We start from the raw sequence: 23,671 nt of genomic DNA, 5'->3' as shown, positions 1-23,671 counted from the left end.
CAAAACTGAATGTCCAGCAGTATTTAGACAAGGTGTACTTTCCCTAATAGATTAATCTCCAGGCCAAGCCATACACTAGGGTTTCAAATAAGGTGAAAGTCTTGGGCCAGCCACCATGCCATACTACCTCCTCTCACAGGGATAAAAATAAAGCATTACCAGCAAGTCCAACAGGATGGAGACCAGGCTAGTGTGGAAATTTGTCTTATTGACACTATTGAGAGAAAAAGCCTGACTTCGCACAGATTAGCTCAAGCTGAAACTAAAAGCTTGCATCCTCAGTTGAACTGACACATATAAACCCCATCGACATATATTTTTAAAGTGAGAAATTCCACCCTTGTATATTTTTAGATGAGTGATATAAAAGTAAATTAAGATATATAAATCATTATCACAGAGGAAAGATCTCTCTTGAGGAGCAGGGGAAACTCCAGGGGTTTATTTCTGAAGTTGTTGGTTCAGTGACATTGTTTATTTGGCCCTTCTATTTGCAAGTCATTATGCATTCATTTATAATTTAGTTGGGCAGATCATGTTTATACATTCCTTTAAAATCATTGTATCTTTTCACCCAGTATCATCCTTTCAAATGACAAAAACTTTTTTCTTCACTAGTTTATCCACATATTCCTGTCATTGTCCATAAAAAGTATAGATATCAGTATACAGGAACAAAAAAGAGGAGCACTGCTGTTGCGGGGTCAGGGGCTGTGACCCATAGAAATTATCACAGAGTTCCCAATACTATGTAAACACACAGCTAAGGATTCCCCAAATGATCACTCTGCATATCCAAAATTATAAAGAGGCTCTAGAGAGTTTCGCCTAAATCAAGTTGCAGAGAACCAAATATTAGAAGCGTTCTAATACGGAGGTAAACATACGTTACAGGGAGCAAAGACATTCCTCAAACCCTCAACTCTTTTCCTGAATGTATTTGTTTAACCTGTGTTATATACTCACTATTTCTACTATAGGGATATGAAGAGGAACTGTTTAATTCTGCCTGAATAATCACACAGTTTATAATTATCTTAATAACCATTTTAAAAATGTAAAGGCAATTCTATTCATAAAAGAGGTTAAAAATAGAGTAAGATTAAATACCAATAGTGGTAATTCCAGGGAACTTGCTTAGAAGTACCTGAGCCGTAAGTGGAATCAGCTGACACAATAGCTTCAAAGACTTGGTAAATTTTGAGGATTTTAGTAATTTAAGACCATCAGGAAAACTAAATGTGAATGATATAGAACCCTGACCGTATTCCAATTTTACTATTCATTAATTCATTCAGTAGATAAATATTTTTCAAGTACTTTCTAGGCTCTGAGGATATAATATTGAAAAAGAGTGCTATGTTTTGCAACTTACATTCTAATATGGTAGACATGCAATACATAAACCATACAAATATCCTAAAACTTTATGCTGGCCCTTGTTGTTATGTACAACATTCAATGTTTTAAGAATACTAAATGCCTACATTGTTAGTGGCACTAGGAATGAACTGATGATGAAATCCCCAAATTTCAGTCCCATGTTCACGATCATCTTCAATATCACACAGCCTATTTGTATAATATTATCTCTTACTGCTTACCTCTGAGACCAATAAAGAAGGCCATAGCCAACCCAAACCAAATGTCTGACCTGAATACATCTCTCGCCCAGAACCTCTTCACACCTACCAAAATTGTTCTTTTAAACCATCTGTTTAGAAGGGGGCTTTCCAATCTGAAGGCCTTACTAATGCCCCTAATTTAGATCGCTCCCTCAATTTAAATGCTACACACCTGTGCATGTCTCACTTTAATGGCATTTATTTTGTATTTTACTGTGTACTCATATTCATGAACATGCCTAACCTAGTCATTTGAATGGCAACTCTTTGAGGACAGGGACTCAATAGTTTCTAACTTTTCTCAGTATTTTAGGCTTTATTTAGCATGCTATCTTACCTAGTTAGCTTTCAAGTCATATTTCTTGTATTGAATTGTGTTATATCTGCTTATGTGCAATGATAAAAGATACAATTCAGTCACTGGTTCATGAACAACATCTGTTCAAGGGAATCTATACAAGTTTATAAGTAATCTAACATTAATCTTAGAGTAATATTACTAAATATAAAACCTCAGCCTCGATTATGTCCAATTTAGCTCTGAATCTTAATCTTTCAATTTTGTTGTTTCTAATATAAACTCTCGGTCAGAACTCTCGAGTTTTCAAAACTCTTGTGAATTCCACATACAACCTGAACTTTAGGGAACCTATATTTATATATCTATGCATCCTATCCCCATATAATCACCTCGGCAAATAATTTATGTTCAAAATGTAAAAACCAACCTTTCCTCAGAATTTAAAAGCATAGAAAACTCAATGCACAACTGAATGAAATTCAACAAATGTAAAGTATAACAGTAAAACAAATATATTCTTTTAAATTCAGATTTAATATTGTGGTAATGGATCTGCATACTAAGTTATCCAGATAGACATACAATGTATGAAGGTGCAGAAATTCATCTATATTCAGCACATGTCTATTTGTAATCATACGATAATAATTCTGCATCTAGGTCACATATACATGTGTATATACACAACACACATTTACAAAACAAAATGTACATATGCATGACATGCATTTTTCATAACTAGTGTTTTCATAGCTACACCATGTTTTTTTCTGGCACATAGATTTGAAAACACTGATATATTACAGGTGTGTTTAAGTCTACACCTACAGGTAAAAGTCTACTCCACGGCAGTCAAACATTTTTTGCCATTGTCTTTTAAGTCATATCTAGTAACACTGCACAGTGATACAGTTTAGGTTTACTTTCTTTTTCTCTAACAAAGAAACATAAAAGTATTTTTCTATCATTATCATGTGTTTCTTAAGACTGTGACTCGGGTCACATTTCTATTAATAAACAATGTTCCGTAAAGCTTTTATTGTATCATTTTGGAAAAATGAAAGATTGTGACTCCCAAGTCCCCATGATCCTGGTGAACATGAAATGGGTGTATACACATAGGCGCAATCCAGGACACACAACGTTTGGTACACAAAGGACGATCAGACCAGTCCTACCCAGAACAATTCCATTGAGTAGTTTCTGTTGCACGTACCAGCTCGGCTGCCCAGGATCCATTCTGCCTTTAAATACTACAAAGCAATTTACACTCCAAGTGCCGCCCGCTTAAGTTCTTCCTTTTGCTCTCAGAAATGGAAATACTTATACAGTGAGTGATGCCTTGTTGCAGCTGCTTCGCGAGTCCAGAAACCCATCTCTGAGCCGCGCGGGATTAAGCCCTGCGGCTCCAAGCTCATTCTCTCCAGCAGCTGGCAACTGGCCGGTCGCTGGGAGGCGCGAACGAGCACCAGCACGCCATCTGGAGGCGTTAAGAAGCAGCTGCAGCAAATTTATAACAACTGTGGGTGGAACAAGGATGTCAGAAAATTCTCTTTTTAAATAATCAAATGGTTTTTTCTCTTGTTAAATAATCACATGGTTTTATTTACACATTTCTGTGGATTAAGAAAAGACCAAAAATTGCAGGAAGATCTCATTCTGTTGCCTATGAATATTCTCTGTCTTTCGTACTTCACAATAAAATAAAAAATATAGATTTCACGTATGTACAAACACCACGAGATGGCAAATTTTCTGCTTCTTGGTGACTCGTCTCAAAGGAAGATAATTAACACTGACTACTATCAGAAGTTTCAAGATTTGGGTATTTAACTGAAAGGCAGCTTTCCAAAAGAGAAATCTATCCCTCTGAACTAACGCAATCCAAGTGCGTTAAACATGCTCTGCTACTTTGAAAAACTATGAACCTTACCTCTGGAAATGTTTAGTCTGCTTTTTATCAATGCATTACACTGACTTTAGTATGAGAACAAGGAAAAGCAGTTTCAACTATACCTCATGTGATCAGGTGTTCATATGACTTTAATATTTCAAAAAAAAAGCTCTTTCAATTAATTTCCCACTATTAATCTCCCTAAGCTTCTTTCCCTTAAAGAGAATAATTTGGTATACCTGGATGAGATATAAGCTTAATTAATTGAATAGAACATTTTATGGCTTGTCTACTGCGGCATGCATTTAGAAATATAATCGTTAAAAATTTCTTCATTACCTGCAGATGAGTGAACCCCACCCCTGCCACGACTCCTACTTCTATCATTGCATCACGATTTTCAATTTCACTTTTTAAAAATACAAATTTCACTTTAAAACTCTTTAATCAGAATCTTATGTAGAGTGGTTGTGGTGTTTTTTTGTTTTGTTTTGTTTTGTTTTGTTTTGTCAGGGAAATGTGAACCAGAGATTGATTATGCACTCTGTGGGGCCCTCTTGGGAAACAGAAATTCCTAATCACTTCATTTTCAAATCAGTTTTTGAGAATGTCCGGCAGAATAAACAGAAGAAATTTCCTCCATCAGTATTTCATCTCAAGTGTTTATTTCCATTTGTATAACAAATGAACATACCGGTTTTTCAAGTACATACCACTAAACATATTCTGAAGAAAAGTAAAATTTTTATTTTAAATACAGATAGTATGTACCAAATATTTATACTGTAATTTTTGTGAGTTTGTTAAAGGTCCGAAAACAGATGTTTTCACATATAGATGTGTCTAACCAAATAAAATTTACATGAATATTCAGATGTAACATGTAGATAAATCAGGGATAAATTTTCACACATAAACATCTTGACCTTACAAAATCATTGTTTAAGTAAATATTCCCATTTTTTACAAAATATTGTTTAAGTAAATATTAAGCATTGTTTAAGTAAATATATAAAAATTTAAGAATTCTTTTGAAAATATTAAGTAAATTAAATATTTAAATGTATAAACAGAAAAAAAAGTGAGACATTAATGAGAGGAGTTAACATATGAATCTCATAGTCAAAGACATTGTGGCTATGCTCATCAGAACCAGCTGAAAATGATAGGAGCTGATGCTGCATGCAGAAAAGATGACGACGTGGTTAAGGGAGGAAGAAAAGTATTATGGTCACGTGTCGTTTTCTGAAAGGTCTAAAGTTAGTCTTAAAACACTGAGAACAGGGAAAATATAATAAAGGAGTAAATCACCAAATAGAAAGATACTAAGGAAGTAAAGGATGTTATTTCATTTTCCATAATTTAATATGTGTAACTCAAGAAAAGAAAAAGTTTAAGACAATGTCACACCGTGAGGTCTAAAGAAAGAAAATAATAGGGGCCTTTTAATGTCTGTCTCTTTCAGTGAACTAGGATGAAGATCTGTATTAGATTTCTATTACTGTATAACAAATTACCAAAAATTTAGTGGACTAAAACAAAATACATTTATTACATCACAGTTTCCATAGGTCAGCAGTCCAGACATGGCTGAGTCCTCTGCTCAATGTCTTATGAGACTGTGATCAAGAGGCCAATTGGGCTGTATTCTTATCCAGAGGCTTGACAGAGAATAATTTATTTCCAAATTTAATCAGGTTGTTGAAGTATTTATTTCTTTAGGGTTGTAGAACCCATGGTTGCTTGCTTCTTCAAGGACATCAGGAAAATGTGTTTTCATTTTCAGGCGGTCACCAATCTCTCTTTTAAGGAATTTCACCTGATTAAGCCAGGCCCACCCCCAAATAACCTCTCTTGATTAACTCAGAATCATCTGATCAGGGAGTTGAATTACATCTGAATAATTATTTCCCCTTTGCCATATTTTATTGAGTAGAAGGAAGTACCAGGTTCCATCCACACAAAACAAGAGGGGATTAGGCAAGGGCATGATTCATTGGGGGTCACCTTAGTGTGTGTCCACAGCAGGATCTATGTAAAGGCATGATATTTCTTGCTTACCACGCCAAAGTTAATTGGGATAGCCTTGGGGAAGTGACAGTATGGGGTAATTTTGTTGTCTTTAGAGTCAAGGCAGAGACTTATTTATTTATCATAGGAGAACTATAAATACATAGTTATATCTGTGATGAAAGAAGTGTAACAAGAACAACAAAAGCCTGGAGGAGTCATCTGATGAAGAAGAAACATGGAAGTAAAAGACTGATGCAGTGAATTGAGGAATGATGTCAGACTCATGAGTAGGACTTAGGACAGTGAAGAACATTGGTGCAGATGAAGCTGCAACAGTTCTATGTGTTAGATGTATTTATGTTGCCTGGATGTCTTCCCACAGGCCCTCAGGCCTATGCAGCCATGTTCTGAGGTGGCTCTGCTTTATTAGATAAGTGTGTATACCTGACTGAAAAGAATACAGTCAGAGATTGTCCAGAAATTTGTGGTCTGTGTGGCCTTACTGAAAAAAAAAAAAAACAAATAACCTATCCAATTAGATTTTCAGGAATTTGAACTAACAGAAAAGAGAGAAGTTATCAGTTGCTAGAGAACATTATAAATTAAAGGTCATGAAATAACTGTGAACTGACTGCTAGCTAATACAAAAAAGAACTACTTAGCAGGAAAAAAAATGGTGGAGACTCAAAAGGAAGTAGCGATTAGAAGTAATAGTCATTCATTTCATTCCTCCAAAACATTCATATGTAATTCCTATTATGTACTGGGCACTGCTTTGGGTGGCAATGGTACCACAATGAATTAAAGTCCCTGTTCTGATGAAACTTATTGTTGTAGGAGGTGGTAGACAGTAAAACCCAAAAGTAAATAAATTATATATTATCAGGTAGAGAAACTGTAGGAATAAACAAGTTATGCAGTTCAGGAGTAATGAGGGAATTACTACTTGGGATAGCATGGTCAAGAATGCCTACATGACTGTATGTCATTTGAACAGAAACCTAAATATAGTGAAGGTGCCAGCTAATATTTGTGGAAGGATGTTCTGGGCAGAGTGCATAGCAGCTTCAAGTGTCCTGAGATATGTGTGCTCTTCTTAAGTCGAAGGAAAAGCAAGATGGAAAATGTGGCTGGCACAGTGGGAGCAAAAGAGTAAATGATAGGGCATAGGTCAGATACAGGCTGAGTGAAAGATCATATAGGGCTTATAACCTGTGTAAGGACTTTGGCTTTTACGTAGAGAGATAGGAAACCAGTAGAGGGTTACCGAAAATTGCATCATACTTGAATTTTTAGGAATCACTCTGCCTTCTGTAAAGAACGGAAAGAAATTAAGGAAAGTGTCAGGGAGGCAACCATGCAGACCCCAAAAGAGACAGAAAAAAGATCTAATATCCAATTATGTTTCCCATGAAGTTTGGCTGTACTAGTTTCAGTTCTTGATTTCTATGAGATGAAGACCGTAAATCTTTTAAATAAACAAACAAACAAAATCCCACCAACAACCCTTTTCTTAAACTAGTTGGATGGATCTCAATTCCTTGTAAAGTGAACACTATACTGTCCACATGGTAGAAAGAAGCCAGTCCAGCTTACTGAGTAACAGGTGTTGCGTTTTGGTTGATTCATCCTATCAAGCTGAGTTGTATATGAAAGGTCCCTGCATGAATTAGTACTTGCTCAAAGGTTTAAGGAATGTCGAAACTGTTCAGCACTTGAATATTCTGGATTCCTGTTTATTTTGGCATTACAGTTAAAAGGTAGTAGAGTTTTTAAAACATGTTACCTTTTAGTAAATGCTAGAGAACACTTGCACATGGGGAGTTAATGTCAGCCTATTGTATCATTCAACAGAGTTATTTTTCCAGGGCATTGGTTTAAACCCACAGAAAAAGGCCAGTTTCTAAAGATTATCTGATCTTTTGTGACACAAGTGTTCCAAAAGTTTCTAACTTAGTAAATATTATCATTCAATATCAATACAGTGTATTTAAGACATATAATTCATTTTTAATATTTTATTGATAGCTATTCTGTTTGTTTTATACTACAGAATCTTTGAAACTACTCTACATTTTAGAAATAAAATAACTCAAACAAATAATTTATAAGAAGTCCATTAATTTCCAACGTTGTATCCTTCTAACACACACGCATACAGAAACACACATGCCTATGTATCACTTGTATATGTGTAGGCATATTTTGGCTATTTTTCATGGCCCTTCAAATGAAATATTACAAAATAAACCATAATATATTTTAAGGTGAAAGTGGGAGGTATCAGCAGTTGCTTTTTCACTTTCTTAACCACATCAAACATTTCATCACTACCCTTTGAATAAAAATATCCAACAGAAACAAAAAGTAAGAAAATTACTTTTAGGTCAGATTCTCCTTTGAAATTATTAAGGGCACAACATGAAATACCTACTTAAATATACAAGTGTTAAATATTTATCTTCTATTTATGTTTTTGGCAAATCTTTTTAGAAGGTACTTTAAGATTTTTCGGGAGGGGGAGGTAAATTTGTAGCATCATGGGTTCTACATTATTTGATAGCTTTACCATCATTAAAAAACTAGTGAATGATACCTTCACCATGACACATATGTTTATTATTTTTTTCTTGTTAATATTATTCAAAATATGTGCAAAATAATAACATTTCTAATAAACATTTTCCTACTTATCAATTTTTTTAAAACCATGCCAACTGAAGTGCCAAATTCAGACCACTCATCTGTGAAAGTATTTTGTCAAACGATGAAGAAAAAATGACATGCATATGGAATAATATTTATCTTTAGATGCCCAAATATGAAAAAATCAATTTCAGTACTAAAAAGGCAGAGTTACAGATATGGAAATCACTAAACATTTGTTGTTTAGCAACATAGAAATGTGAAGGGAGACTTAGATAGAATATAGTAGCTAAAAGCAGCTATAGATGCCTAAGCCTCAGCAGCAATATAAGGGAAGGAGCCAAATTCAAAGAAACTTCAGTTTTTGTTTTTTGGGTTTTTTTTTTTAATTGAACTAAGCTACTTTGTGAATTACTGACATTAAGAAATAAATTCGGTGTTTCACTACACTCTTGTTATATACTTAAGATGCAAGACTGTACATAAGATTTCCATTATTTGTGAATTCCAGCACGTGATCATATTGAAGACTTTTATCTATTCCCATACTTAGTGCTGAAAGCATTTTTTATCAGGTTCTTTATATTGAAATCAGTCTGATTTCAAAATATTCACTTTATATTCATGTTCTCAAATAGCTTTCAAAAAGTCAAAAACCAGGAGAAATTTGGTTTTACATGTAAACATGTACATATATGGTTTAGGCTGTCTAATTTGTGTAGCTGATACCAGTACTGTTCCTCTATGATGCAGTTGGTTTAAAGTCAGTAGATTAAAAGGACACATACAGAACTTCAAATGTGCTCCCAAAGGGATATCCATGAAGACTAATTAAAATATTGTGGATGTTTCAGAAGTAACTCTCAAGCACTACAATGCTTTCTAACATTTTGTCACTTCATTGCTTACAACAAATTCTGTAGTTTCATGGCTTCAGTTGTTTTTTCAAGTTAAATCACTCCTTCTCTAGCTCAAACTCATATCTTGAAAACTAGTTCTGCATTTCTACCTGGCAGGTGAGTTTCTTTGCATAAATATATACTTAAATAACTAGGAAGTTCATTACCTTAGACTTTTAAACAAGTCATCTAGGGGTAAAAAAAAAAAAAAAAACAATTGATGGAAAGTAGAAGTTTTAATTTGCTTAACTGTTTTTTCAATCAGTTGGATTTGTCCAAAAATAAAATGGCCTGCTCTGAAATGCACTAAGCTCCATTACCTATGTAACAAACCTGCACACCCTGCACATGTACCCTGGAACTAAAAATAAAAGTTTATTTAAAAAAGTATATACATAATCTTGATAACAACTTGCCAGGGGACAGTGAAGTAGATTCTAATATCACGTAATTGGTCAGATTAGATTACCTTCCAAGTCCCTCTTAGTCTTGAGATTTTATGATTCTATAAAATTATTATTTCCTTCTCTCATAATATCATATTTAAAAATATGTTTCTACCACTAAAGCTTATCTGATTTGCCTTTTTCCATTACATATAACACCTACATTTATTTCCTGATACATTATTCAATAATCAATTTACTTCAACTTACATTTGATTTATTTCTCTTCATCTTAGTCTTTTAAAACTTTTTCCCCTCTCAGTAATTTTAATCTTAACATCTACAATTTATTAATTCAAAATAATTTTGAAAAATATCTTTAAAAGTAGACAAATAACTTTGTGCTTAATCCAGCCTATAAATAAACATTTGTTCATATTGAATAGTTTAAATCTGATTGTCTCAAAATAGCTCACATAACCTTTAAGATTAAAACACTTGTTTACTTCAAAAAGAAGCTGAAGGTTCATTTGGAAGATGCCTATAAAGTGCTTTAAAATGTTTTAGTGAAACAAGATATAAAAGATCAATGTTTAATTGAATATTTTATAACTTCTTCATACTTATAGCTTGTTAAATCTATGCTGATTCACTAAGACTTATAAGATGCTATTAAAAAAACAAAATTATCAATTGGTGTGGAACTTTTTCTACGATATAAAATGTTTCAAAAGTGTTTCTCCTATGGAGATACAGAAAGATCTACAGAAATAAACATACAACAAAACTAAAAATATTAATTCATGTTTTATCACATTTTTATTTGCTTAACTTTTATAGCCTATGTTCCCATTTATAAAATTGTGTGTAACTATATTTTCAATTGTTTCAACAGTGGTATATCAAAAGTTAAGCAAATGACAATGCACTTAGGTTTTGATGGTTATCAGACATGCAATTTGTTGACCTAAACAGCATTTGAAATGAACAAAGAGAAAAAAAAATGTTTTTTTTCACAAATTTTTTACAATGCTTCACAAATGTTTTTACAATGCTTAAAAACAGACAAACACAATACGTAAATGGCTACATGCTGTACATAATCACAGATTACCACAGCTACATTTCAAGTTTGGAACTTTCTTGAGTGGCTACTTCATTATACAACAAACAGTTCTCTAACCCTAGTTTAATTAGTAGTAAATCTTTTAAAAGATGTATTTATTTTATTTAAACCATCAGAATGAGCAAAATATATGCTAGACCAAAAAATAAAGTCTATCTTAGTTATTTCAATATCATTGTTCCTCTCTGAAAAATGACAGAATCATTAAAACTATTTGAAATATTGTAATGTTTATAATTTAAAAACCAATCAGCAATGTAGACATAATTAATATTTGTTGAACTAAAAATTACATCCTATATATTACTTTTATGTTTTCCTTTTATCCATTGTGCATCATCAATAAAGAACATCTTTTTTTAAATGAGAGTTCTCCTTTTTCACAATGTAAATGATGTTTGGTTAAAATAAAACTAGGGACATGTAAATGTCTGTATGCAAAGCACTAAAAAGTCACAACATAAAATCAAATATCCATCATAATCACTTACTCTACAATATTTTTATCTGGCCTGTAATATTTGTATGGGTAGTACTCATGTTTAACACTAACAACCTATTCTAGCTATTCAATCTTCTGCAGCTCCCCAGTACCATCAGGCCACACTAACATCTGCTCAGAGTAAACAAATTAATATATTCAGAACTCTCTCATCAAAATGACCTTGAAAATAGTTCCAAAAAGTTAAAGAGATTCAGTAACTTTAGGAGTGATGTTGCCCAATGTCTTTCAGGGTTACTTTAATATCCTCCAGCCCTGAGGCTCAAAGGGCATGTGTGTGATTTCACACTTGCCCACATAAAATATGGTGTATCCAGGAGTGAGTCTCCTCAAATTGGGCAACCACCTGAAAAGGCCAAAAATATCTCTGTGACACATCAAACTACTGATGCAGTTTGGTTTTTCCTAAATCTGACTGATTCATTATGGGGATGTACTCCTTTGGCAACCCTGCCTAGATATACCACTTTGAAGCCCAATTTGGCGACCCAGTGAGTGAAACACCTATGACAAATTTTCTTTGTATATCTATGTCTTCCTGTATGTAAAATTCACATGGAAGAATTTATTATCCTAGAAAATACTGGAAAGAGGTTTGGAATTCATGCCAGTGAGTCTGAAATGCTATATTTAAAAAGAATCCATTTTAATACATGGTGCTTTTTATTACTTTCTGGGTCCCTGTAGATATTTTACTAATCTTAATAATCTTGAAGAATGCTGAGTATTTTAAAGAACAAATGAAAACATTGTAAGTATGATATATACACACACGTATACACGTATATATATATAATCTAAATTCATTTTATGCAGAACCAACACAGTTGCCATACTAAATTTAGAGTGTGTGTATATGTATATATCCCAAAAAATTCCACAGGCCCCTGGCTGTCTCTGTGACCAACTCCATCCTTTCCTATCTTTTAATGTAGGTAATACGGACACTAACTTGTGGTATTATATGTCAATAATATGAACTAACGATGGTATAAATTATAGTATATACAAAATTCACTAAATAAAGATGTAAAACATATATCCAGGCCTGTCTATCGAAGGATTTTATGCATAAATTAAAAGAGAGTACTGTTTCTTTGCAAAGGGTGAGTTAGAGTTCTTTGAATGCTTTTGAAAATAGGTTCAAGATCATTCTACCTACAATTATAATAGCTAAATAACTTTGCCTTCCTTGGACAATGTATTGCATTCTCTTCAGGAAGAAATGGCAAGAGATACAGAGATGATTCCCCAGGCTACCTTCTATTCACTTTGGGAGTTAGTGGAAGACTGCCCTCTTTCCAACACAGTCTCTGATGAAAGGGATCTATTAAAAAGAATTGCGTTGGTTTACACTGCAGATTGAATGGAGCATTAAACGAATGACTGCATTAGTATGACTGCAGTGGGGGTAATGGTCGCCTCTGTAATGTTGTAATAATACTTTCACATACGTGTTATTACACGTATTAATTGTTCCAGTGTCCGTATCTAATTTATCGCGAAATGGTATCCAGCATCTCTCAGGCAAATGCCCCCCTCCCAACTCCCTGTGCCCTACAGTTTTATGCCCCCCGCCCCCGGCAAATGTAAACAGATGAGGAAATATGTGTACTTTCAAATCGTCACCCATGTATCATGAAGGTGGGGGATTACTGCAAATCACTTGGAAACCGCTCCCCGGAGGCGTTTAGCGATACCGCCCACCAATACAGCTCAGATGTTCTTAATTTGATCACCCTCCACCTTTTGGGCTGTAATTTTCCAAACAGGCATCTCTCTCATTTGCAAATAAAAGTTACAAATCAATCCACGGGTACAGAATGCTGACTTCCCGACACTCAATTTCACAGGGTGTCTCTTGAAGAGCTGCCAGGTTGTGACCGATAATGGGGGAGAGGGAAAGGCGGACAGCGAAAGCGAGAGAGAGAGAGCGAGAGCGAGAGCGAGAGAGAGAGCGAGAGAGAGAGAGACAGAGAGAGGAGAGAGAGAGAGAGAGAGAGAGAGAGAGACAGAGAGAGAGAGAGAGAGAGAGATCACTTGCTTCCTTGCTTCCTAAGCCGGGATTTTGCCTGCGATGCGCGGCGAGAGGACTGCGGCGGCTGATTTACACAGTTGGCGCGGAGGAGGGGCCGGGGGTGCGGGGGGGACGCGCTGGCGGAGCTCCGGCGATGGGCTGATCTGGGGGCTCCCGAGCGCCGCTCCCTTGGTGCGCGATTTGGGGGCGGCTGATGGATTTGCATTCAGGTTCCAGCCCTGCGTTTCCTATATTGACTCCTTATACACGACCTGGCGCTCCAGTTTAGGAGGAGACGTTGGTAAGTAACGTGTAATCCGATTTTAGTTATTTCCTAGGCCATTAAAGTGGCACTTTTAAAGCAGGTCAGTCTTAAAAGATGCCGCCGCCGCCGCCGCCGCGAGCGTCTCCTTGGCCTGAAACGTTCAGCAGTCCCCTCCCCCTCCCACCCCCCTCCCCCGCACCTTCTCCCGCTCGAGAAGTGAGGGTGCTTGAATGGTGAGCGGTCAGAGGACTCACTCTCTGCCAACGGTATCGCTTCACCTTCGTGCTTTGCCTGAGATCTCCCAAATCCAAGTGGAATTTGGTGTGCACAGCCATACTGTGTATTTGTATCTTCTCTCCCCCTCTCCTTCTTTCCCCCCACCTTCGCCGTCTGACCAATGCTGGGATCTGAGATCTAGTCGCCCCCTTCCTGCCTCCTTTCCGCCTCTCCCCACCCTTTTCTTCTCTCATCTACACGCCACCAACCCCCACTCCCACCCACCTAAAGGGCAAAGAGCAAAGACACCCTGGAAAAGCAAGGGCTAATTCCATCTTCTCGGATGGAAGGAGGCCTCGGGCAGGGATTGCGCTGTGAGTGACAACCTTTGAGGAAGAGAGAAAGAGAGAAATCCAGAGACTGAGCTCAGGCTCTCGGGAACAACGAAGCTCTCCACTGATCCAGAGCACCGAGATTTTAAATCAAAGGAACCTAGTCCTGGGACACTCACTCTGCCTGCCTGCCTACCAACCATCGAGGGCATAGGGAGCTGTGGTCGTGAGCTCCCTGTCGCTGGCATCGCCGCGCTAGGTGCGCGCCCCGCTCTCCCATTGGTATGCAGCGACCATTTCCCTGCAAGTCTCAAAGGTGGAAACATTTAAACGGATTACAAGCGTGATTCGGTAGCCTTTCGGAAAGTTGGTGGCCAGAAGAGGAGAAGCTACAAGGCTACAGTATGATGGATACAATTCAGCTTCGCAGAGAGTTTGCCCCTCCTGCTGGGTAGCCCCTCGCAGCAAACCTCGGAGATCCTGAGCGCTCTGCACCATAGGTACTCGCCGCCATCCTTTCCTACTTCGCCTAATTGAAACCAGTATTTCTCGTATGTAGGATGTGCATTGTAGAGCACATCGAGTTTGGCCGCGGTGTATTCTGTACGCTCACAGGTGCTAGGGGTTTGTTGCAGTTTTGAATTGGATCAGTTAGGTGTAAGGACGTTGGTGGAAGGAGGGGTACCGGAGACTAACATACCCTCGGACCTCTTTTCTGGGTGAAGACATCGTAAGTAACTCCAACAAATAGGCCAGGTGGCGGAGCGAAGGACCCCTCCCCCAGTGGAATGCTCGCTGGTGTTGTAAGAGGTAGAAGGAAAAAGGCTTGAGCTTTTAATAATTTTCCGTTTCTAAACAGACCATTGTGCGTTTCGCCTGACGACAGCAGATTAGAAAAGGCTCTATAGACGGCTCAAAGCTCTTCAGAAAATGAATGATGCAGCGTTTTAATTATTTGTTCTAGGGAAGATAGTTTTGCTTCCATATTGGAATACTTAATCTTAGATCTGAAAAAATTAGTGAGCTGTAAGATCCAGCAGTGGGGAGGAGGAAGTGGGAAGGGGGCACAGCAGGGAGAAAGGGCTTCTTGTCCTCCCTCTGGACAAACAAATGGCTCTGGGCGCTCCCAGCAGGACACGGAAAAAACTGGGGCCCCATGGCTCAATATTCCCTAACTTTTGGAGCCCTCCCTGTCCTTTAGACGCGCTATCCTGAGCTAAAGAAAAGGAAAAAGGTGAGATAGCCTTTAGGACACAGCCCAGGTCCAGAACGTAAGGGGTTTTAGTTCAAGAAATAACAGAGACTTCATTGCCGAGACAACATTTACCGTCATCTGGAAGCTCAGGGCAGCCTCCGGGTTACCCATCGATTCCATCACATCATGGGTTCCGATAACACCCGATAAATAGTCACCGCCTCTGCACATTGGGTACCCAAAGTGCTGGGCGGGGGATGGGGGGGAGGGTGCGGGTGCCGGCAGCTGGGGAGGGAGAGGGAATTGCTCTGATTCTGAGCTTAGGCTATCGGTATTGGTTTACTTCTTGGCTAAGACCTATGGGAGCAATAGGGTGAGTCTGGAATATTAAGGGTAGAATGTTAGAAAATTCTGCCCTCCTGCTTACTTAGTGTATGGTGGCATGTTTCTAAAATTAGCTACTGTCTGCCAGTGGACTCCTGTGCGGTCATTTTAAATGCAAAATATCATGGAAATTGCCTTTGACTGACTTTTAAGGAACACATTGTTAGGTGATTTACCTGTTTTAGAGCAGTAAGAAATTGACATGTAAGCTGTGCTTTGCTTTAAAATTTGCTTTTGTAAAGGGTCCATTAAGGGAAAACCATCTCTACCTACTAACTTTGAGTCCTTGGGCAATTGAGGTTCAGTTTAGTTCTTTAGCAACCAAAAAGTCCCTGCCTTCTCCCCTCCCGGCGAGGAGTTGGTGACAGGATTGGTGTGTGCTGGTGGGGGCAGATGGGGAGCATCCACAGCACACGGGTCCTGTTGATTAGACTCCTTTGCTGCACACTTGGCTCTCCCCAGTTTCCCCACCAAGCTGCATTCCTTCCCAGCAGGCAGGACTGTAGTGCTGTCAGCTGAGCCTTAAAAAAATTCCTCTGAAAGCGTTCCTGAACTGTCATCTGGTAGTCCCTCTACAATACAATATCTTCCTTCAATCACCTCCACCCCCACTCCCACTACTCCCTAGGATTCACTCCCCGAAAATTTCACGGAGAAATATTTGAGTTTAAAAAATAAGAAAGAGAAAGAACGGACAAAAGCATCCAAATCCTTAAATCCACCCCAATCCCGCGAGGTCTTTCCCGGTGGCGCAATGTGAAATGTACCATTGTTACCCAAGTGGTCTGTATCTCCTTCCAGAGAATTGGCTTGTCTCTGTTTTTAAAAAGTGGAAGAAAAGAAATGCTGTTGAATCCAGGGGCTATCGAAGGCTTTGACCTGCAGCACAACAAAAGAATTCCTGGTGCAACGGGATCGAAGCAAAATGCAGGAGAAACTCGGTCCAAGTCTTTCAGGCTGTCTGAGCTCTTATTCGGGACACCCAGGCAGAATCAGACAGATTCAGCTTTTCTGCTTTGGGGACCTGGATTTCCCCCCATCCCCGTCATTGCAGGGAATGGCTGTCCTGTGAAAATGATACTTACGAAGGATAGTCTCACTTTTCAAACCACCTGCACTAGAGAGATGAGCTTTGGAAACTAAAGGAGCAAATCATTCAGGGGATGGTTTCCTTGAGAGTTTAAAAAAAAAGAAAGAAAGAAAGAAAGAAAGAAAGAAAGAAAATGCCTATCCCTGCCCCCCTCCCCCATCTCCACCTTCCTCACCAAAGAAATGTTTCCCATAGGTTGGTCTCCTCCCCCTTCTCTCTGGTTTCTTATTTTGCCAATTTGTGTTCTCTACCCCTCTACTTCTTTTCCCTACACACACACACACACACACACACACACACACACTCACTCAACTGTATAGTCAGGGGTTCCTAGTGCTCGCTCCCGAACCCATGCTAAGCGCGTTCCCTTTGGAGCTCATTTTCATGACGTGGAATGCTGGGTTCAGGGTTATAGCACATATATATTTTTAAAGCCGGAGCGAGAGAAGTCTGAGATTCTGCACTGTGATTGAGCCTTCCTTCCTCCCTGCCTCCCTCCTGTGCTTCCTCCCAGTGCCCAGTGATGTGCTGTGGGTACCCAAAGAGAGCAGCCACCGCGGCGGCAGCGGCAGGGGCAGCAGAGCTGGAAGCCTGCTGCAGCCCCTTCTCCTCCCTCCTCTACTGAGTGTGCCAAGCGGCAGTTCTGCATCCTAAAGAAGCCCATTGAAGAGCCCATTGCATTCCCAGCACGTCTCAAGCTTGCTGCTTTTTTTTTTTTTCTCTTAGTCCCCCCGCCCAACCCCCTTTATCCCCTTTTGCTTCAGCTTCAGCAAAGCAAAGGGAGGGGGAGGGAAAGAGAGAGAATCCTTAAACTCAAGCTTTTTTTTTTTCTTTTTCTTTTCACGGTTCCATGCTAATAAATAAATAAATAAATTACAAAAAAACCCGAAACCCAAAAAAACTCTGGCAAAATAGGTAAGTCCAACACATCTGTAGCCTTTTTTGCCTAAACCATAGGGACCTGAAAAACAAGAAAAATATTTAAGATGGTGAAGAAAGAACTTAAGTAGATTTTAATATTTCATAAGGGAGATGGAAGACTAATTGATACTGCAATGTAGCCTTTTCTCTCTCCCTCTTTTTCACTGAATTGTTTTTAATTTTTGAGTATTGCATGTCTGAGGCAGATTTCTCTTTGCTTTCTCACGGTATCTCCTTTCTTTACAGCTGTGAACATTATAGGCGAGTGTAATGTGAAGATTTATTTCTTTCACTTTTCCTATAAATTATATCATTGTGGTTTAAGAAGAAGGTTGATGAAATATATCTTTCTGTGTGCTCTCTATGAGGAAAATATATGCTAGAAACTTTGGTTTATTTTTGTTGATTAAAATCAGCTATTAAATTTTGATTGATATTTTAGTGACTCAGGAAGGACAGTGTAATAAAACTGCATTATTATCATTTATGTAAACATTTTCATATACTGATGTTATTAGGCAAGGAAAACGATGCATAGAGAAAGACTGTTATCAGAATAGTGCACTGCATTTGTTTCTTCTGATTGGAAAAGAATGATATCTTTTTTGAAATTTATTTCGTGTGATAGATCATTTATCAGCAGGTAAGAATAGAGGTTTCCACTCTCTCTTGACTTTAACTACCCACCTCCCCTCTAACCAGCCACCTGCTCTTCCAGCTTTTTACAGGGTTCCTCAGTTGATCTTGAAGGCGCAGATACACATTCCAAACTAAGTTTTGCAAATGTTTTAATTCAGACACTTTCAGACTCAGCATCCTCTAGCTGTCCCTATCTTTAGCTCTGACAATTGCACGGGCATGTTTTTTAGAAGGGCTAATCACTCCTACATGTTTTAAATAGTCAAATGATACAAATATATACAAATTATTTATTAAATTAAAGAAGATGACAATAATGTATTATTGGGCAAGAAGATGTGGACATATAGTGTACATACTGACTATACACTGTAATAAAGCATGTTATGATCATTTCATAAAAATAAATCTTAAGTTTTCCTGAGATGCTGATCATTTTACACATCTCAACATCTGATATTGAGCAATAGGCTCATACTTTATCACACTAATCAATATAATAATTTTGGAGTATATCATGTCTTTTTAATCATCAAAACCTATAACTCAAAGAACATATTTTTCCCATCAGAGTTCCAATCAGATTTATTATGAGTATCTTTGATGTCAACATGAGTTTTAACAGGCAAACAGGTGTGATGGCCACATTATTGCCATTATTACTGAATCTGCCTATGCCTAAAAGGAAGTACGATATACCAGTTCTGTTGTTTGTTATACAGAGGCAATGCAGGCTGCTTTTGTTCATGCAATATGCCGTTTACCAAGTATGGCTTGGTTCAGGAAAATGTCACTGCATGGTTCAATATTTCAGAGTCTCCTAAGTTTAAAATATAGGACACACTCTAAACATTAAGTATGTTGCTAGCTCATCTTGAGTGTCACTTCAACAATTGCTGAAGTTTTTATATAGCTCTTAAAATGCCCCACATGTAGGAGTCAATTAAAATAGTACATATGACTAAAAGCTAAAAATCTGCATTTTTATTTCTGTTGCAGTTTTGTAATCAACCACGAACGATGAAACCTTCCATAGCTGAGATGCTTCACAGAGGAAGGATGTTGTGGATAATTCTTCTAAGCACAATTGCTCTAGGATGGACTACCCCGATTCCCCTAATAGAGGACTCAGAGGAAATAGATGAGCCCTGTTTTGATCCATGCTACTGTGAAGTTAAAGAAAGCCTCTTTCATATACATTGTGACAGTAAAGGATTTACAAATATTAGTCAGATTACCGAGTTCTGGTCAAGACCTTTTAAACTGTATCTGCAGAGGAATTCTATGAGGAAATTATATACCAACAGTTTTCTTCATTTGAATAATGCTGTGTCTATTAATCTTGGGAACAATGCATTGCAGGACATTCAGACTGGAGCTTTCAATGGTCTTAAGATTTTAAAGAGACTATATCTACATGAAAACAAACTAGATGTCTTCAGAAATGACACCTTCCTTGGCTTGGAAAGTCTAGAATATCTGCAGGCAGATTACAATGTCATTAAACGTATTGAGAGTGGGGCATTTCGGAACCTAAGTAAATTGAGGGTTCTGATTTTAAATGATAATCTCATCCCCATGCTTCCAACCAATTTATTTAAGGCTGTCTCTTTAACCCATTTGGACCTACGTGGAAATAGGTTAAAGGTTCTTTTTTACCGAGGAATGCTAGATCACATTGGCAGAAGCCTGATGGAGCTCCAGCTGGAAGAAAACCCTTGGAACTGTACATGTGAAATTGTACAACTGAAGAGTTGGCTGGAACGCATTCCTTATACTGCCCTGGTGGGAGACATTACCTGTGAGACCCCTTTCCACTTCCATGGAAAGGACCTACGAGAAATCAGGAAGACAGAACTCTGTCCCTTGTTGTCTGACTCTGAGGTAGAGGCTAGTTTGGGAATTCCACATTCGTCATCAAGTAAGGAGAATGCATGGCCAACTAAGCCTTCCTCAATGCTATCCTCTGTTCATTTTACTGCTTCTTCTGTCGAATACAAGTCCTCAAATAAACAGCCTAAGCCCACCAAACAGCCTCGAACACCAAGGCCACCCTCCACCTCCCAAGCTTTATATCCTGGTCCAAACCAGCCTCCCATTGCTCCTTATCAGACCAGACCACCAATCCCCATTATATGCCCCACTGGGTGTACCTGTAATTTGCACATCAATGACCTTGGCTTGACTGTCAACTGCAAAGAGCGAGGATTTAATAACATTTCTGAACTTCTTCCAAGGCCCTTGAATGCCAAGAAACTGTATCTGAGTAGCAATCTGATTCAGAAAATATACCGTTCTGATTTTTGGAATTTTTCTTCCTTGGATCTCTTGCATCTGGGGAACAATCGTATTTCCTATGTCCAAGATGGGGCCTTTATCAACTTGCCCAACTTAAAGAGCCTCTTCCTTAATGGCAACGATATAGAGAAGCTGACACCAGGCATGTTCCGAGGCCTACAGAGTTTGCACTACTTGTACTTTGAGTTCAATGTCATCCGGGAAATCCAGCCTGCAGCCTTCAGCCTCATGCCCAACTTGAAGCTGCTATTCCTCAATAATAACTTACTGAGGACTCTGCCAACAGACGCCTTTGCTGGCACATCCCTGGCCCGGCTCAACCTGAGGAAGAACTACTTCCTCTATCTTCCCGTGGCTGGTGTCCTGGAACACTTGAATGCCATTGTCCAGATAGACCTCAATGAGAATCCTTGGGACTGCACCTGTGACCTGGTCCCCTTTAAACAGTGGATCGAAACCATCAGCTCAGTCAGTGTGGTTGGTGATGTGCTTTGCAGGAGCCCTGAGAACCTCACGCACCGTGATGTGCGCACTATTGAGCTGGAAGTTCTTTGCCCAGAGATGCTGCACGTTGCACCAGCTGGAGAATCCCCAGCCCAGCCTGGAGATTCTCACCTTATTGGGGCACCAACCAGTGCATCACCTTATGAGTTTTCTCCTCCTGGGGGCCCTGTGCCACTTTCTGTGTTAATTCTCAGCCTGCTGGTTCTGTTTTTCTCAGCAGTCTTTGTTGCTGCAGGCCTCTTTGCCTACGTGCTCCGAAGGCGTCGAAAGAAGCTGCCCTTCAGAAGCAAGCGGCAGGAAGGTGTGGACCTTACTGGCATCCAAATGCAATGCCACAGGCTGTTTGAGGATGGTGGAGGTGGTGGTGGCGGAAGTGGGGGTGGTGGTCGACCAACTCTTTCCTCTCCAGAGAAGGCCCCTCCCGTGGGTCATGTGTATGAGTACATCCCCCACCCGGTTACCCAAATGTGCAACAACCCCATCTACAAGCCTCGTGAGGAGGAGGAGGTGGCTGTTTCATCAGCCCAAGAAGCAGGGAGTGCAGAACGTGGGGGTCCAGGGACACAACCACCGGGAATGGGTGAGGCTCTCCTAGGAAGTGAGCAGTTTGCTGAGACACCCAAGGAGAACCATAGTAACTACCGGACCTTGCTGGAAAAAGAGAAGGAGTGGGCCCTAGCAGTGTCCAGCTCCCAGCTTAACACCATAGTGACGGTGAATCACCATCACCCTCACCACCCAGCAGTTGGTGGGGTTTCAGGAGTAGTTGGGGGAACTGGGGGAGACTTGGCAGGGTTCCGCCACCATGAGAAAAATGGTGGGGTGGTGCTGTTTCCTCCTGGGGGAGGCTGTGGTAGTGGCAGTATGCTACTAGATCGAGAGAGGCCACAGCCTGCCCCCTGCACAGTGGGATTTGTGGACTGTCTCTATGGAACAGTGCCCAAATTAAAGGAACTGCACGTGCACCCTCCTGGCATGCAATACCCAGACTTACAGCAGGATGCCAGGCTCAAAGAAACCCTTCTCTTCTCGGCTGGAAAGGGCTTCACAGACCACCAAACCCAAAAAAGTGATTACCTCGAGTTAAGGGCCAAACTTCAAACCAAGCCGGATTACCTCGAAGTCCTGGAGAAGACAACATACAGGTTCTAACAGAGAGAAGAAAATATATTAGTGCTTTTTTTTTTTCAAAAGAAAAGGAAAATAAAAGAAATATATCCCTTGCTCCCTTTACACTTGTCCCAGTAACTCCATCCTCACGATCTTTCCTACCCTGAACAAAACTAAAACCGCATGATAACTAGAGAATACAGATGTATGCTCTCCCCTCTCAGATGCGATTTGGAGGAAGGGCCATACTCAGATCATTAATCAATGAAAGTGCCTTCGCAGACTTTTGCCAGCAAATGTTATCATTATTTTTTTATACTGAAACTTGAGACTTTGACTGTGCCATGTATAAGATATACTGGGGATCATTGTATGGATCCTAATTAAGTAAAATTCAATGTGTCTTTTTATTTTCAGTAACTATTTTTTTTATAGTTGTAGTTTTGATTTAAAGGGGGGGAAACAAGTTGACATTTGTCATTTGTGGCTTTCTTTCTTATCATCATGGCACAGATTCTGTACATGTATTAACAATGCAGTTTGCTGCATGCCTGGAAACTGCAAGATGGGGAGGGAGGGGGCGGGTCTTGCTCGAATGTTCTCACTCACTATCTTGTCTCTCATACACATATCCATCTGCAGACCATGGTCCCTAAACCTGCAGTTTCTTCCTGCTGGTGCAGGTACACACACACACACACACACACACACACACACACACACACACTCCATACCATTTCCATTCAACTCAATCTGCTTAGTTCGGGTTTGATCCATTTTTCTCCTCTCCATAGTTCTACCACCCTTCACTGCTAGTGTACAGCTCACAGCATCTCTCCTACCACCCTGGGAAAAGTCACATTCTAGGCTGGATTCTACTGAAGTAGAGGCCTGGTGGTTTAACAGCCGAAGACACACGCCTAGGGATGAGCACCCTCTTTGTGACACTTCATCCTGATGCCAAGATTTTTTGGAGAACATCTGCACTTTCTTATATATATATATAATATTAAAAAAAGCAACTGGGTATATATCACTAACAGCTTTGTAGGAAGCACTTTTAATGTTTTCTCTCTCACACACAAAGATTCAAAAGAAATGTGCATATATTTATTCTGTAATTTCAGTGATTATAAATTGTAAAGGTAATGTTTAATCATTGTATAGTGATTATGCCTCTGGTATAGCTTTCCTAATAAAAAGTTTTTGAAAAACATAATACATTATATATAGAGGATACAAAGCTTGAACCTTAAACTCCAGCTATGCCATGCCTTTCGTGCTTCCATTTTAGAAATGATTTCTTTT

The 23,671-nt window shown here is 39.0% G+C and overlaps 1 protein-coding gene and 1 long non-coding RNA gene across 8 annotated transcripts in view; one reads left to right on the top strand and one right to left on the bottom strand.

Annotated features, from left to right (window-relative positions):
- Nucleotides 1–3,354, bottom strand: part of LINC01322 (long intergenic non-protein coding RNA 1322) — a 332,490-nt gene extending 329,136 nt beyond the window's left edge. For all 5 annotated transcript variants that reach the window (NR_174101.1, NR_174100.1, NR_174098.1 and 2 more), the window contains exon 1: nucleotides 3,143–3,354. This is a non-coding gene — a long non-coding RNA (long intergenic non-protein coding RNA 1322). The remainder of the gene's footprint in view (nucleotides 1–3,142) is intronic.
- Nucleotides 3,355–13,192: 9,838 nt separating this feature from the next.
- SLITRK3 (SLIT and NTRK like family member 3) lies at nucleotides 13,193–23,582 on the top strand. Of its 3 annotated transcripts, none has more exons than NM_001318811.2 (2): nucleotides 13,193–13,268; nucleotides 19,451–23,582. In NM_001318811.2, the coding sequence occupies exon 2, from the start codon at nucleotides 19,472–19,474 to the stop codon at nucleotides 22,403–22,405; it is 2,934 nt and encodes a 977-aa protein (NP_001305740.1). In that variant the 5' UTR covers nucleotides 13,193–13,268; nucleotides 19,451–19,471; the 3' UTR covers nucleotides 22,406–23,582. The 3 variants fall into 3 exon arrangements, with proteins under 3 accessions (NP_001305740.1, NP_055741.2, NP_001305739.1); NM_014926.4 differs by lacking the exon at nucleotides 13,193–13,268 and adding an exon at nucleotides 13,431–13,710; NM_001318810.2 differs by lacking the exon at nucleotides 13,193–13,268 and adding an exon at nucleotides 13,918–14,722.
- Nucleotides 23,583–23,671: the final 89 nt, after the last annotated feature.

Source organism: Homo sapiens, chromosome 3 (genome assembly GCF_000001405.40).
Source record: "Homo sapiens chromosome 3, GRCh38.p14 Primary Assembly".
Lineage (NCBI taxonomy): Eukaryota > Metazoa > Chordata > Mammalia > Primates > Hominidae > Homo > Homo sapiens.
This window is presented reverse-complemented; position numbering and strand designations above follow the sequence as displayed.

Excerpts from the sequence above, each read along its gene's own strand:
- SLITRK3 (NM_001318811.2), top strand. The coding sequence starts at position 19,472 with ATGAAACCTTCCATAGCTGAGATGCTTCACAGAGGAAGGATGTTGTGG.